We start from the raw sequence: 15,856 nt of genomic DNA on the forward strand, positions 1-15,856 counted from the left end.
TTAGCTTCAGACAGTCTATGCCATGTAGAAATGCACCCAGGACTGTGCATATTAGGGAGGTTTGCAAATGTGTCCACATTAGATAATTTTTCTCAAAATGCCCCTCACTGAACTTCTGTCATGCAGTATGTACTGAGCACCTGCCTCTTGCTAGGTCCCGGGAGAGAGGATGAAGAGGGCAGAGCCCCCACCCTCAGGGGACCTGAAAAATGGGAGTCCTTTGTGCTCATGGAAGCAGGGCCTTGGGGCCTCAGCACTATGGACATTTGGGGCCGGGTAATTCTTTGTTGTGGGGGGCTGTCCTGTAGATTGCAGGATGCTCCGCCGCATCCCTTGCCCCTGCCCTCTAGAAGCCAGTAGCACCCTCCAGTTGTGAAAGCCGTAAAATGTCTCCAGACATTGCTCCCAGTTGAGAGCCACTTCATTAAAGAAAAAAAAATAAAAAAGATTTCTGTATCCTCTATACATGGACTGAATTTCACTGACATTTCTCTAAAATAACTGAATCTATTTCTATACTCATTTTTTTTTACCAGCTGCCATTTTATTTATTTTTCTTTTCTTTCTTTTTTTAAGAAACAGGGTCTCACTCTGTCACCCAGGCTGGAGTGCAGTGGCGCAATTATGGCTCACTGCAGCCTCGACCTCCTGGGCTCAAGCAATCCTCCCACCTTAGCGTCCCCAGTAGCTGGCACGCCACTGTGCCCGGCTATTTATTTTATTTTATTTTATTTTTTTTGTGGAGACAGGGTCTCCCAATGTTGTTCAGGCTGGTCTCAAACTCCTGGGTTTAAGCAATTCTTCTGCCTTCATTTCCCAGAGTGTTAGGATTGCAGGCGTGAGCCACTGCACCCGGCCATTTTATTTCTTAACAAAGCACAAATCAAATGTACAATGCAGCTAGATTTTCCTTTATAAATAATGTCTAATGGATTTGTTTCTGTCAGCTGCCTAGAACATTCTGGTATCCCAGACAGAAGTGCAACACCAGGTGGAGGTGTTGCAGCTGAGAAGTTCTGACCAGCATACCAGCACCCCCTTAAAAGCTGTCTATACTTGCGGTTCTCAGCTAGGCTGCCACAGAATCGCCCAAGTCTTAAAAAAACAGGTCTCTGTCCTACTGCTTGAGATGCTGGTTCTCTAGGTCTGAGGTTCTGGCACCTGTGTGTTTTTAAAACTTTACAAATAATTTAAAAGCGCCTTCAAGTCCACAACAACAGAATATTTCCCTCCACTCCTCATTGTCCTGGAGTTCTCTAACAGTGCAGTTCTACAACTGGACACACGATGTCGCTTTTCAGCCACAGTTCTCACTAAGCGGCCCCACAGGGCGGCAGGTGCCTTCTGCAGAGAGAGAGAGAGGGCCTTGGCTGACAGGCCAAGACCGGGCATCCTGGCTCCTCCTCTGTACAGACTTTTCACAGATGTGAACTCTCCCTACTCCCTGTCTTCTGCCCCCAAATGAAGCCTCTCAGCTGGCAAGAGCTGAGAACTACCAAGCGAGCCATTGCTAATTTCTATTGTGTTTGGAACCACAAAAGGCAGAATTATTAAGGCTGTAAAGGACCTCAGAGCATCTGGTGCAGTGAGTTTCCAACTTGTGAAAATCTGATGTGATCTCGGACAAGTCACTTAACCCCCTGCCTCAATTTCTTCATCTGTAAAATAGGATAGGAATATATCTTGCCCGTCTGATTGTTATGAAGACAAAGAGAACAAATGCACATAAAGCCCGTGACCATGTGCTTTGTGAATGGAAGCTTTAATTTATTCATTCATTTATTTTATTATTTATTTTTATTTATTTATTTATTTTTGAGACATAGTCTCGCTCTGTTGCCCAGGCTGGAGTGCAATGGTGCGACCTCGGCTCACTGCAACCTCCATCTCCCGGATTCAAACAATTCTCCTGCCTCAGCCTTCTGAGTAGCTGGGATTACAGGTGCCTGTCACCATGGCCAGCTAGTTTTTGTATTTTTAGTAGAGACTGGGTTTCACCATGTTGGCCAGGGTGGTCTCAAACTCCTGACCTCGTGATCTGCCCGCTTTGGCCTCCCAAAGGAAGCTTTTATTTTTATTATAGTTTTACATAAGGATAAATTCAGCCTTAGTGAAGGGAAGTGACTTGCCCAAGATCATACAGTGAGACTGCTGGATCTGGGGCTCTACTTCAGAATTTTTTTTTGAGATGGAGTTTCACTCTGTTGCCCAGGCTGGAGTGCAGTGGCACAATCTCGGCTCACTGCAACCTCCACCTCCCGGGTTCAAGCGATTCTCCTGCCTCAGCATCCCTGATAGCTGGGACTACAGGCTCCCACCACCACGCCCAGCTAATTTTTATATTTTGAGTAGAGACAGGGTTTCACCATGTTGGCCAGGCTGGTCTCAACCTGCCTGGCCTCCCAGAGTGCTGAGATTACAGGTGTGAGCCACCACGCCAGTCTACTGCCATTGTCCATGATTTTTCCTACAGGGAAAATCACAATCCCAGAAGATAAGACAAAGAACAGTAAAAGGTGGCTTTTGAGGCAGTGAGTTCTACCTGAAGGTGGGAACAGCCCAGAGTGTCTGGGGACAGAGTGGTAAATTCTAATCAAGCCTTCCCATGGCTTTGTGGATGAGGATGAGTTTCTACCCTGAAGCTCGGCCTGTTCAGCCATAAAATCAGGATAATGGTGGCTGTGCCTCCTTAGAGTAGAATGAGAATCAGAGCAGAACAAGGGAAAGCTGCAGTGACTTGTCAGGTGTCAACCTTCAGCATGATGGGAGAGCCATGGGACCCTTCCCCTTTCCCTAAGAGAGCCAGCCCTCACAGCAGGCCTGGGATCCAATGCCCAGCACCCAGCTGGGAGCCCAGGGACCTTGGCCAAAATCTGGTTCTGCTTCAACTTGGTGCCCGGCCTTTGTCAAGTCACTTCCTCATTTGCAAACTGGGAGAGTTTGGATGAAACTATTGAATGAAATTATTTTGGGGGTTTCTTTCTGGCTCTCACAGTCCTCGCATGCTCACCATGTTCCCTTCAATTTCATTAGCACAGCCCAACAAAGGGTTAAGCAGTGGCAGTTCCTCTCGTTCTTTGGTTAGGACAGGAAGGTCAGGGGTGAGGCCAATACAAGAGGTAGCCGCCACAGCTGATGCTGGAAATGACAATAGTTCTTTCCTAGACTCATATTTGTCCCCTCTCCCTGAAGCTTTGCCTGCAGTGCCCTTGTAAAGAAGTTGGCAAGAAGCAGGAGTGAGGCTCAGCCCCTCTCTGAAATGGATACGCCGGTTGCTCCCCCTCATGGCTGGTCTCATTTGCCTTCTTCATTTTTAGACACATTCCAAACTTTTCAGCAAATTATAGTGTTTGCCAACTGGCCGTCTGGGGCCCAGGAGAGATGCTATTTATAGCGATGCTGGGATGCTGCCATCCCAGAGCAGCCTGGTAAGAAACGGAGCCAGAGTGCCTGGGAGTGGCGTCCTGCACCCTGGGGAGAGGCCAGGGCCCTGGAGCAGGGTGGCAAAGCTGGTGGCCCGTGGCAAGGACCACTGGCACATCCCCTGCCTGCCTGGGCCCTGGGGTCTGTGCCCATACCCCACACGGGGGGCTGCTTCCGTGCTCCTTGGAGAGACGATGGTGCTGTGGGGCCACTGAGCACAGTAAAGGCTAAGACCCACCATAGGTCAGCCCTTGCTCATGCTGACTGTTGCCCCATTTCCCTTCATTCTCTCACTCGTTCATTCCTCAGAATCTGCATCCTGGTTTTGTCACTACCTGGAGTTGTAAAGATACCACCAAGCTCACCTTGTGGTGTGAGCCTTGATTTTCCCCATCTGTGTAAAGGGTGGATCTGAGCTCCAAAGTTCCTTCTAGTCATATGCAGAGTGCATAATAAATGTGTTTGTATTCCCACTGTGCTCAGTGGGCACTGGGGCATGCAGAAGAGAAATTGGAATAAATGTGACCCTTGTCCTCCAGAGGCTCAGTACCAGACTGGAACCAGGACCCAGATGAGGGGCCTACCCAGAGAGGGCAGCGTGCTCTCCTATTTGTGTTAGGCGTTACCATTTACAAAGGGCTTTACGGCTTTGAAGGTCCCCACAACGCCCTGAGGAGGTGAAGTGTGGCAATGCCCGTTCACTTGGGAAAATACTGCATCTCAGAGAGACCAAGGGACTCGCTTAAGGTCACACAGATACAGTAAGTAAGTAGGGAAAGAGCTGGGGCCTCTGGGCTCCTTTTCCGGGGCTCTGGCCTCGGTTTTAACCCGTTCTCCTAGACCTCTCAGTCTCTGGGCCTCCCCTCTGTGTTCCCCACCCCCACTTTCCATCAAGAGCTCAGTTCTCTTAAGTTCTATATTCTCTCTTCCCCACCCCTAGAAATCTCTGCCCGCTTCCAGAAAAGGCTTTGATTCCGTCATTTTTGGCATTTCCCACCCAGGAATCAAGGCTGCCTCCTCTGTGAGGAAGGCGTGTGGAAGGCGAGCAGCTGAGGACACCTCTTTTTAAGAGAAGCTTCTCCATGTTCTTAGCCAGGTTATATAACTTCTTTTGCTTCTTTCTTTTCCACATTCTACATATTTTTCACAATGAGGATGTGTCACTTCTATAGTTAAAAATGGAAATCTTCATTTAAAAGAACAATCAGACACAAGGCAAGGTATGCTTACCTTCCCAATGACCAAGGAGCAGGGAGACATTGGTCGTGGAGGCCATAGGTGACCAGCCTTGAGGGAAGGGAAGGAAGGGGAGGTGCAGGGAGGCGCAGCAGAGGCACCCGAGTGTGCTCTACGAATGTAAGTCTGCCAGCTGCTCCTCTGTGCCTAGCACCCTGGAAAGCGCCCGCACACAGTGGGCCCTCAGCAAACTCCCACTGAGCAAAGGGCCCTGTGAGTAAGGACCTAGAAGCAGGGTGTGCTTGAGGCATGGGGTGGGAGGGCATCCAGCTTGGCTGGCGGTGGGAGCCGATGCAAAGGTGAGCTGAGACCAGACGGTAGAAGACCTTCAGTGCTGGGCCGAGGAGGGTTCCTTCATCCCATAGAGAAGAGCTGCCATCCAAGACAGAAGGCTGGGGAGTGACATGTTGAAATCAGTATCTTAGGAAAATAAAGCCACTGGCTGGGCCACTGGCTCCCCTTTGTAGAGGGGTCTACGAAGCTCCCGAGGTTTCAGATAGTCCCTGAGAGCCCTTCCCCTCGCGATGGGCTCCGTTTGAGGCATGTCCAGTGTGAAAGGACCACAGGCCACCTGAGGGACAGGACCAAGCAGAGAGCTAGTGACAGAATGCCCAGGGCTCCAAGACAGGGCTGGAGAGGTGGGAGTGGTCCCCACCTTGAGAGCCAAAGGGGCTGAGGGCTGAGGGTTGAAGGCCGAGAGCCAGGAAGGTCCAGGGGAGCAAAAGGGGGAGCAGAGGGGGAGCTGGAGGTGTTGGGGTGGTGGGTAGAGAGCCAAGATAGGGAGGGGACAAGAGAGGGGAGAATCTCAAGGAAAAGCAGGAGCATGAGACTGAGAGAAGGCCCCTGGAACACTGGCTTGAATGTGGCTGACATTGGCACTGCCAGTACTCATCCCAAACCAGGGAGCTCAGCCAGCGCCCTTTCTGCATGTCCGCTCTTTCATCAGACAGCTAGGAACAAGTTATACGAGATGATGTCCAAGTCCAATAAATGTCTAAGTCCTTTCCACTGGATCTGGCCCCAGCCTCCTCTCTGAACCATCTCCTATCACTCCACCCTATCCCTGCTGGCTCCTTCTGCTCCAGCCATACAGGCTTGCTCCTGGGCTCAGCTTGTGCCTGCCTGGGGAGCCTCGCGCTTGCTGTTTCCTCCTTGAGAAATTCCTGCCCTGGATAACTCCTTCCCCCACTTCCTTCAGATCTCTGCTCCCTTATCAGGGGGCTTCCCCTGGCTGCCCTATCTATAACAGCCCTGACCACTCTTTTCCTCTTCTCCTGCTTTCTTTGTCTTCCTGTTCTTATCACTAAGACATCACACATGTCTTAGTTGGCTTGTTTATATTCTGTCTCCACCCATCTTAGTCAGCTACTGCTGAAATGATGCTGTGTAACAAACCACCCCGATACTCAGAGGCTCCAAACAAGTGCTGATCTTTCTCATTTGTGAGTCTGTGTGTCAGCCCGAGCAGGGCAGCTCCAGGCTATGGCTTGGGTTTGGGTGGACTCCATGTCTCTCTCCATTCTCCTTGGACCAGCAGCTCCCTGGGGCACATGCTTGTCTTGGAGAATGGCAGGAACTTAAAAGCCAAGCCAAACCTCACAGCACGGTTAAGGGTGATCATGACACACCGCTAACATTCTAGTGGCCAAAGAAGTCTCATGGCCAAGTGTAATAGCAGTGGATTGGGCAAGTTTACTCTCTTACACCTGTTGTGAAGGGGAGTGGGAGGGGATGGGGGGGTGACCGTTTTCACAACAACAGTGCAAACTATCCCATCTCCCAATAGAACATAAACACCTTAAGGTTGGAACTGGGTCTGTATCCCCAGCACTTAAAATAGTTTTTGGCATACAGTAAGGGTGCAATAGACATTTGTTAAATAAATATACAGACTAACCAATTAGCATAATACAGATGACAAAGGTGTCTCTCTTCTGCCAGCTTCTGTGCCTGAAATGTTGATGATCTCCTCCCTATCTTCCTAACATCTCTCCTGTCCCCACCTGTCCATGCCCAGGGTTTGGCTGCTGTGACAGAAGTGTGAGAGCCTCCTGTCTCCCTTGGGATCCCAGTAAGAGCTTCCATGCCTCTCTCCCTGCTCACCTGGGCTCCCATCCCTGGGGACCTTCTGGAAACAGCTTCCAGGGCTCCCAGAGCTTACTTAGCCAGATTCTACATCTGGCTCCAGCTGTTATCCTAAGCTTGGCCTTGTTTTCTGATCTGACCACAGCTTCATCACTCCTACCTGACTGTGGGATTCTAGCCCCCAGTGGGGTGGGGGACCAAGGGTGACAATTACCTGGGACCTTGACTATTGAAAGGCTAATCAGGTTTGATTGGGAAAAAAGAGTTGCTAAAAAGGATTGTATTGGATAATTGGTGAGATTTGAACATGGATTTTATATTAGTATTGTGTTATTACATTTTCTGATATTAGTCATTCTTTTTTTTTTTTTTTTTTGACGGAGTTTGCTCTGTCACCAGGCTGGAGTGCAATAGTGTGATCTCGGCTCACTGCAACCTCTGCCACCCGGGTTCAAGCGATTCCCCTGCTTCGGCCTCCTGAGTAGCTGGGACTACAGGCGGGTGCCACCACACCCAGCTTGTTTTTGTACTTTTAGTAGAGACAGGGTTTCAACATGTTGGCCAGGATGGTCTCGATCTCTTGACCTCGTGATCTGCCCGCCTCAGCCTCCCAAAGTGCTGGGATTACAGGCATGAGTCACCGCTCCCGGCCGTTAGTCATTCTTATAGGTATGTAAGAAAATGTCCTTGAGGTATTTAGCAGGGAAGTTCATGATCTCTGCAGCTTACTCACAAATGGTTAAACAGAATGAGACTAAGAACAGACTAGTAAGAAAAGACTGAAGAATATAATTATTAGGCCAGGTGCAGTGACTCACACCTGTAAATCCCAACATTTTGGGAAGCTGAGATAGGAGGATCACTTGAGGCCAGGAGTTTGAGACCAGCCTGGGCAACATAGTGAGACCCCATCTCTACAAAAAAAAAAAAAAGTAAAAATTACGTGGGCACGGTGGTATACGCCTGTACTTCCAGCTTCTTGGGAGGCTGAAGTGGGATGATCAGAGGACCTCAGGAGTTTGAGGCTGCAGTGAGCTATGATTGCAGCACTGCACTCCAGCCAGGGAGACAGACTGAGGCCCGGTCTCTAAAAAAAAAGGAATCTATGTGAGTCTATATATTCGTGCAACTTTTCTATAGGATTGAAACTCTTTAAAATAAGCTTAATAATAAAAACAAAAGCTGGTGGGTGAGACCTTTCATGTACTCTCCAGGAGAGTTAAGCCCCCCAACATTCCTGTCCCCTTGTTTACTCTCAAGCACCCCCTCCCCCACCCAAGGACCAGGTCTTTGTTTACTGAGCATCTCAGCGATGAGCTCTCACCCCCTGATTTCATCAATTATAAATGTGCTCGCTACTCACCACACGGCAATTTGTGACGGACTGTGGTTTGTGGTGAGAGTAGCACCATCCAAGTTCACCGCAGCCGCGAGTAGAGATGAGGGTTGGGGCCAGACACAGGGCTGTGGGGGCGGCAAGGGCACGCAGGCAGCCCTGCCACCTTCCTGTTTGTCAGCCAAGTGAGGCTTCCGAGGGCAGCGGGCGAGCGGGTCACTACTCAGGGCCAGCTACTGCGGCCAGGCCAGGCTAGTCAGGTCTGTGCAGCCAGAACTAGAGGCTCCGCCAGGATGTGAGGTCTCCCAGCTCCTGGGAACTGAAGCAAACACTCTGACTACCCCTTCTTGAAGTGCCTTACGGTGTATACATTTGTTTAATCTGCACAACAAACCTAGGAGCAGTTATTGTTACTGTCCTCATTTTGCAGATGAGGAAACTGAGGCAAAGAGAAATTAAGTAACTCCTTCAAAGTCTGGTAAGTGACAGAACCAGATTTTACCCTCTTACTCATTGTCCATATTGCCGAGTAACTTACATTAATAGATACTATGCATGTTTATTTTATTTTTTATTTTTTTTTAGAGATGGGGTCTCATTCTTTTTTTTTTTTTTTTTTGAGACGGAGTCTCGCTCTGTCGCCCAGGCTGGAGTCCAGTGGGGCGTGATCTTGGCTCACTGCAAGCTCCGCCTCCCTGGTTCACTCCATTCTCCTGCCTCAGCCTCCCGAGTAGCTGGGACTACAGGCACCTGCCACCACGCCCGGCTAATTTTTTGTATATTTAGTAGAGTCGGGGTTTCACCGCGTTAGCCAGTATGGTCTCGATCTCCCGAACTCGTGATCCGCCCACCTCGGCCTCCCAAAGTGCTGGGATTACAGGCGTGAGCCACCGCGCCCGGTCCTCATTCTTTCACTCAGACTGGAGTGCCGTCGTGCAATCTCAGCTCACTGCAGCCTCAACTCGGGGCTCAAGCAATCCTGCCACCTCAGCCTCCCGAGTAGCTGGGACCACAGGCAGTGCCACCACACCCAACTAATTTTTGCATTTTTTGTAGAGACCGGCTTTTGCCATGTTGCCCAGGCTGGTCTCGAACTCCTGAGCTCAGACAATCCACTTGCCTCGGCCTCCAAAAGTGCTGGGATTACAGCACCACGCCCAGCCGATACTATGCATGTTTAACTGACACCTAATGATTAGGTAGCAACAATTTCTTGGCTGCCTTATTCACCTTCATGACCCCCAACATTGAAAATGTCTTTTCCCATGTGAAAGCATTTGTGGGCTCCTACTGCCAATCTATAAAGTAGAAATCCTTCTGTGGTACAAAGCCCTCTTTCTTATCTAATTTCCCATTTCCCGTTCCCCCTTCCCCCTTCTGCTAAGAGCTCTTCCCTACCCACATTGTAAGTAGGGCCGGGGAGCTAACTCCACCTTGCGTACTCCAAATCAACCACATGACCCAGGCCTGACCAATCAGGGCTCCAAATCCTCTAGCTATAGTGATTGGTTTAGGGAGGGACATGTGACCCGCCTGAGCCAATGAGGATCTGTTCTGGGACTCCTGTTTGAACTCTTGGGAAAATAAACTCCTTATGTTGGGTGGCTGAGGGGATGAATGTGAGCTGGGAGCTGCAAGCAGGCATCATGCTATTCCCTTCAGCTTTCAAGTAGTGTTTTCACTGCTGTTAACAATTCCAAATCTTAAGTGTTCCTTGCATCTTCCTCTCGCCAAAAATATTACAGTACTGGAGGGCTTACGTGGTGTCTCAAATGTCTGGAGTTTAAATCTGCCTTGCAGCTTCCATGGCCACAGTGAGTGTCTGAGTCCTGGCCGCTTTCTGCTGATCCCGGGGAGAGTTTAGCCTGCCTGCCCTTCCTCCCTGGTTCGTTCTCATGTACTCAGATCCCTGCCTCACTCTTCTCTCACACAGACAACAAAAGAGAGTCAGATTGTGGTCTTAAGTGCACAGGACTCTGAAGTTAGGACCAGAAGACCTTGGTTAGAGTCTAAACCTTGTCAGTTACCAAATATCATTAGGCACATTAGTTAATCTCTCTGAGGCTTATTTCCCCATCAGTAAAGTGGGTACTGCTGAAGATGTAGTCTTTAGAAGTGTTCTCTAGATTGTAAGCCCCGTGCTTCCTGGTTATTGACTAAACAGGGATAAAAATGAGTTTCTCCTCACCTGGGTGTCATTGAGTTTCTGGTCATTGTGAGATGGGTGATGAAGCCAAGGGCATCAAACATCCCAACAAGGCTGTTTTCTGCATCTCCAGGGCTATCCCAGCGTTAATCACATATGGACCTTTAATCAGAGTTTGCAGAATAAGTGAGAATTGTGTCAGAGTATGAATGTAGATATTATCTTGTTTTAGTCATTGTTACTCTAGGGGACCATTCTTACTACAGGAATATTGCACAAAACCCAGAAATGTATTGACTTTCTCCTAACCAAGGCCTAAAGAGCTGGTGTTAGACATAGGCCAAGGCCAGCCAGAGGCCCAAAGCCTGTTTCCCAGGGTAGGACTGCCCTGGCCTCCCCCTCTTTCTCCCCAGGCTCCACCCCAGAGAGCTGAAGACCAGGCTGGGTACGGCACTGCTGAGAAACTGAGGAAAATGCCACTGGCCTCCTCTCTCACTGCAGGCTGCCCACCCGGGAGGGGGAAAGCTTGTCACTAAATCAGGTTCAGTTTTGGTCACTGTCTTGGACTGGATATTCTAGCATCAGAACTGAGATGTTTCTTGTGACTTAAAGTAACTTCAGGACTCTATTCTACCTAGGATTGGGCAGAAAAGTTATGGGCCTGCGGGAGTTCCAATTCAGAAACAGGGGAGATTACTTGCACTAAAGAAAGTCTAAAGGAAGGTAGGAGACAAAAATAAAGTTGTGTATTGATGATCCTAGGAGTTATGCTTGTTTGACATACCAGTTATACCTGCTGTCACGGTAGTTATGCATTAGGGGACCCAGGTGTCTGAAGTTATATCCAGAAGACTTCTGAGGGTGCACCGGGGGGTCCCTTGGCTAAAAGTGTGATTTAAACCCTAAGAGCCTGCCCAGACTATCAGTCCCAGTTTCTACGTCCACTGTCCCTGAATCTCGCTGCTTCTTCCTTAGGCTGCTGGGAGTCTGAACCCTCCCCCGCCAACACCCCTCCCCCATGCCTCAGTCGTGGGAAGGGGGGGCCCTTGAGCAGTAGGGCCAAGCCCTGTTCAGCCTGGGACCAAGTTCCCATCAACAAGGTGGTCTGGGCAGTGGCCAGCCAGAAAGCAGTAATTACTGTCGAGGTGCAGGGACCCCAGGTAGGGCCCCCACCTCCCACCTCTGTGTGGGCAGTGAATGGGCCTGCCCCTGGGTAAGGCTGTGTCAGCAGGCGCCTGCCCACCCCTTGCTGGGTTCCCAGGCCCCTAGAGCCCTCTCGTAATAGGAGCCATTTGCGCTGTAACCAGTGGGTGACCAGATTTTTAATCTTGGAGACCCCTTGGATCCCAGGCGGGAAGTGGGATTTGTCAAATGGGGAGAGGCGGGGCTGTCTGGGAATGCCAGACGGGGTTGTGCTGGGGAAATATGTCTCCTTTCCATACAGCCCCCTTCCCATACCTCCAGCCTCCCTCTACCCCGCAAGTCAGCTCTGTAGCTCCTAGGAGGTATCTCCAACATGCTTAGCTGTTGAAAGTAAATGAATGCCGGAAGTTGAAATCTGAATGGCTTGTTTTGCACTAACTCAGGTGCATGCCAAATAGGGGTGTCTCTTTGCTTGATCCTAATCCTTCCTCCTCTGAAATCCTTTCTGACCTGCTGCCTATCAGCAATTGCCCTGCAAAGACCCTCTAGCTGGCCGCGGGAGAAGCTGTGTTCTTGGCTATCAGGAGTGAGAACACTGGACCCAAGCTTGCCTATTCTCTGCCACAACTCACTGTGTGATCTTGGACAAGTCACTTCCTTTCTTTCAGCCTCAGTTTCAGGAGACTTGGCACTTGCTGAGTGCCAATGTGTGCCATGTTCTTGACAAGTATGGTCCCACACAACCTTGCCAATGACCCTGTGACCTATGTCTTCTTGTTCCCAGTTTACAGGAGAGAAGATGCAGCCTGGGAGAGATGCAGCAGGTGTCTGAGGCCACACAGCAAGTCACCCAGGGCCAGGATCTGAAGCTGGGTCTCTCCAGCTCCACTGCCTGGGCACTTTCTCCTCCACAGCGACCTTCAGGTCATCATGAGGAGCCTTTCGGACTAAAGCTAGAGAGCTGGGATTCCAACAGTTCAGCAACCCATGACTTCTCCATGGCAGCTGCTGCCTGACCACCTAGTGCCTTTCCACTAAGATTGTTCCTTCCCTCTCCTGAAGATTATCCTCCTGCCCCTCTCTCCCAAACATCTGCGGTGTGCACCTGCTGCCCAAAGTTGAACTTTTTTTTGTTAGAGACAGGGCCTCACTGTGTCATCCAGGCTGGAGTGCAGTGGCGTGATCATAGCTCACTGCAGCCTCCAACTCCTGGGCTCAAGTGACCCTCTCACCTCAGCTTCCTGAGTAGCTGGGACTACAGGCATGCACCACCACGCCTGGCTAATTTTTAAATTTTTTGCAGAGACAGGGTCTAGCTATGTTGCCCACCCTGGTCTTGAACTCCTGGGCTCAAGCAATCTGTCTGCCTTGGTCTCCCAGCTCGCTGGGATTACAGGCATGAATCACCATGCCCGGTCCTCCAAAGTTGAACTTTTGAGACTCAGTTTCCTTCTTGGTAAATTCAGGCTCCTAGGTGCTACCTCCTCAGAGACATCCTCCTTGACCACATCACATGACCTCTCGCAGAGGCCAGATTCTTTAATGTATTCATTTGTCTATTATCATGTTTCCCCAGTAGAAGTTGCACAAACGGCAGGGGCTTCATCTGTTTTGTTTGCCGTTATGTCCTTAGCACCTAAAATTGTGCCTGGCACATATAGTACTCAGTATGTATTTGCTGGGTCAATGAGTGAGTGAATTTATACTAATAACAGCAGCTACCATTTCTAGAGTGTTTACCATATATTGGGCACTGTGTCAATCTTCCCAACAACCCACAGACGAAGATCAATTATTACACCCATTGTACAGATCAGGAAACTGAGTCAGGTTAAGAAACTTGCCCTAAATCCTACAGTCTCACTTAGAACTTCTGACTGCAGTGCTCATCAGAATGCATTGTCAACCCAAAGGTCATTTCCAGCTCAGGTGGCTTCTATCAAAAGAGCTCATCCTGGCCTTTCCAAGAGCCAGACCTCCGACATCGGTGGAGCCCTGTGCATAGCTGGCCTCTCCTGGGCGTCTTGTCCCAAGTACAGAGACCTGGATCCTTTCCCACTCATGTGCAACAGCCCAAAATTAAAAACAAAAGCCATATTAAAAAACAAAACCAACTTTCTGCCTTAAAATATTGTGAGCCAGGGGGCAATTAGCAATTATGCTGTATTTTATTATGAGAAGATAGAATTCTAATTGGACTGATTTGAATTCCACACACCTCCACAGATTGTTTTGGGAATTAAGGTATCAGTTGTATCGGTAATTATGGTTTACCATTCAATTACCCCCCCACAGAAAACTGTTAAATTGTCTGTGACGGGGCTTAAATTTAGCTCAGACCTATGTCCTATGAAGACTGCGCGAGTCAATACAAGCCATCCGGAAACCACCGGGTGCCCTGTGCCAGGCGGTAATTAGGGGTTGAGGTTTCCAAAGTTTTACCTGAGACAGCAGGGACAAGTGCCTGGGCTGGGCGTGCTCACGTGGGGGGGCTTGGATGCTCCCCCAGCACAGTGCTCTTGGCTCCTGCCCTGCGTTGCTGGTGCAATAGCTGATCATCTGGAAGACAATGTGGTTTCAGCCGCAAGTGACATTTTGGCGAGGTGCACCAGCATAGAAGCCCTGAGACAGCGAGGGACCATGTAAAACTCACGGACATTGTAATTGGACACATCTGGGATTGAATTCCCACTCTTCCACTTAGGGAGTGAACTTGAGAGGGCCACTTAATATCTTTGAGCCTCTGTTTCCCCACCTGTCAAATGGGTACACCTCCTGCCTCACACACGGGTTATTGTGAAGATGGATGGAGAATAATAATGGTGCCTGGCCCAAATTGCATTTTTTTCTCTTTTTTTAGTACTCACTACATGCCAGATACTTTACAAACATCTCTAAACCTCCTAAGCCCTATAGGGCAGGCACTGTGGTTATTCTCTGTTTTATGGATGGGAAAACTGAGTCCCAGAGAGGTTAAATAACATGCCGAAAGTCCCATGACTATGAAATGGGGCAGCTGGGATCCAAACCCAGGTGACCTAGGGCCAAACCCTAAGCATGAAGCTGCCCTGCTGGGTGCCTTCTGTACCTGTCCCTCTAAGTGGAAGTGCCTAGAAATGACCCAGCCAAAAGCAGCAGACTGTATTTTATCATTTCAACAATTCTCTCTGTCCATAAAAAGTTCTATGCAGCTTGGCCAGTTCCTTTTTCCTGAATACAAAACTGAGAATGGTAACAGGGAACTGACTTTTTAATGTCATGGTGCAAAGGAGCTAGCTCTGCCATGACCTCCTTGAAGTGACCTGGTAGAGTGAGGGTAAGACAAGCCACACTCCCTAGGCTATGGAGGCCACTCTCCATGGAGGTAGGGGAATAGGGAATCCTGCAAAATACAGTCTCTGGGGATGGGAAGGATCAGGGAAGGGGCCAGGTGCAGTAGCTCATGCCTGTAATCTCAGCATTTCGGGAGGCTGAGGTGGGAGGATCGCTTGAGCCCAGGAGTTTGAGACCAGCAGTTTGAGACCAGCCTGAGCAACATATCAAGACCCTGTCTTTACAAAAAATTAACAAAAAGGCCAGGCGTGATGGCTCACACCTGTAACCCCAGTACTTTGAGAGGCCGAGGTGGGCGGATCACCTGAGGTCGGGAGTTTGAGACCAGCCTGGCCAACGTGGTGAAACTCCGTCTCTACTAAAAATACAAAAATTAGCCAGGTGTGGTGGCTGTAATACCAGCTACTCGGGAGGCTGAGGCAGGAGAATCACTTGAATCCAGGAGGCAGAGGTTGCAGTGAGCCCAGATCATGCCACTGCACTCCAGCCTGGGAGACAGAGTGAGACTCCGTCTCAAAAAAAAAAAAAACAATTAACAAATTAGATGGGTGTGGTGGTGCACAGCTGTAGTCCCAGCTACTCAGGAGGCTGAGGTGAAGGGATCACTTGATCCAGGTGTTCGAGGCTATAGTAAGCTGTGATCACCCCACTGCACTCCAGCCTGGGTGACAGAGTGAGATCTTGTCTCAAAAAAAAAAAATTTTTTTTTTTAAAGGATCAGGGTAGGTACATGGACTCCTCCTATTCCTTCTGGCACCATCAGTGGTTGAACACACAAACTTTGGTTCAAATCCTGCCTCTTCCAATTTGCTAGCTGTGTGACCTTGAAAAAGTTACTTAACCCCTCTTATCCTTAGTTTCCTCATCTTCAGAATAAAAATAGTGCTTGCCTGATGGGGGAGATGATGGATGTAAAGGGCCTCATAGAGGGCTTGGCATTTACCAAGTGTTTGAGAAATATTGGCTGTTTTTATTCAAGGCCTGCTCATTGCTAGCATGAGCTACCTGCAACAGCCACCTCTAGGCCTCTTTTGCTTCCTATATTCCAGCCACACCAAGAAACCATGATGGCCTGAATCCTCTCTGACTTTGTCAGGCCTCCGTGCCTTTATACATGCTGTTCCTTCTGCCTAGAAGGCCTTTCTCTTTTTTCA

General features: G+C 49.4%; 1 long non-coding RNA gene across 2 annotated transcripts in view, besides 2 other annotated features; it reads left to right on the forward strand.

Moving 5' to 3' along the window:
- The window catches only part of LINC02594 (long intergenic non-protein coding RNA 2594), a 41,895-nt gene extending 28,412 nt beyond the window's left edge, over positions 1-13,483 (forward strand). For both annotated transcript variants that reach the window (NR_184089.1, NR_184090.1), the window contains one exon: positions 12,154-13,483. This is a non-coding gene — a long non-coding RNA (long intergenic non-protein coding RNA 2594). The remainder of the gene's footprint in view (positions 1-12,153) is intronic.
- Positions 8,319-8,478: an enhancer, noted in NCBI's record as "active region_12248". NCBI's record gives its function as "activates an Ori minimal core promoter by ATAC-STARR-seq in GM12878 lymphoblastoid cells {active_cell/tissue: GM12878}" and the evidence as "EXISTENCE:reporter gene assay evidence [ECO:0000049][PMID:35858748]".
- Positions 8,596-9,465: an enhancer, noted in NCBI's record as "H3K27ac-H3K4me1 hESC enhancer chr17:41779239-41780108 (GRCh37/hg19 assembly coordinates)". NCBI's record gives its function as "activates a minimal SCP1, AML or CMV promoter by ChIP-STARR-seq in primed H9 embryonic stem cells {active_cell/tissue: H9 hESC(primed)}" and the evidence as "EXISTENCE:reporter gene assay evidence [ECO:0000049][PMID:30033119]".

Source organism: Homo sapiens, chromosome 17 (assembly GCF_000001405.40).
Source record: "Homo sapiens chromosome 17, GRCh38.p14 Primary Assembly".
In the NCBI taxonomy this organism is placed as follows: Eukaryota; Metazoa; Chordata; class Mammalia; order Primates; family Hominidae; genus Homo; species Homo sapiens.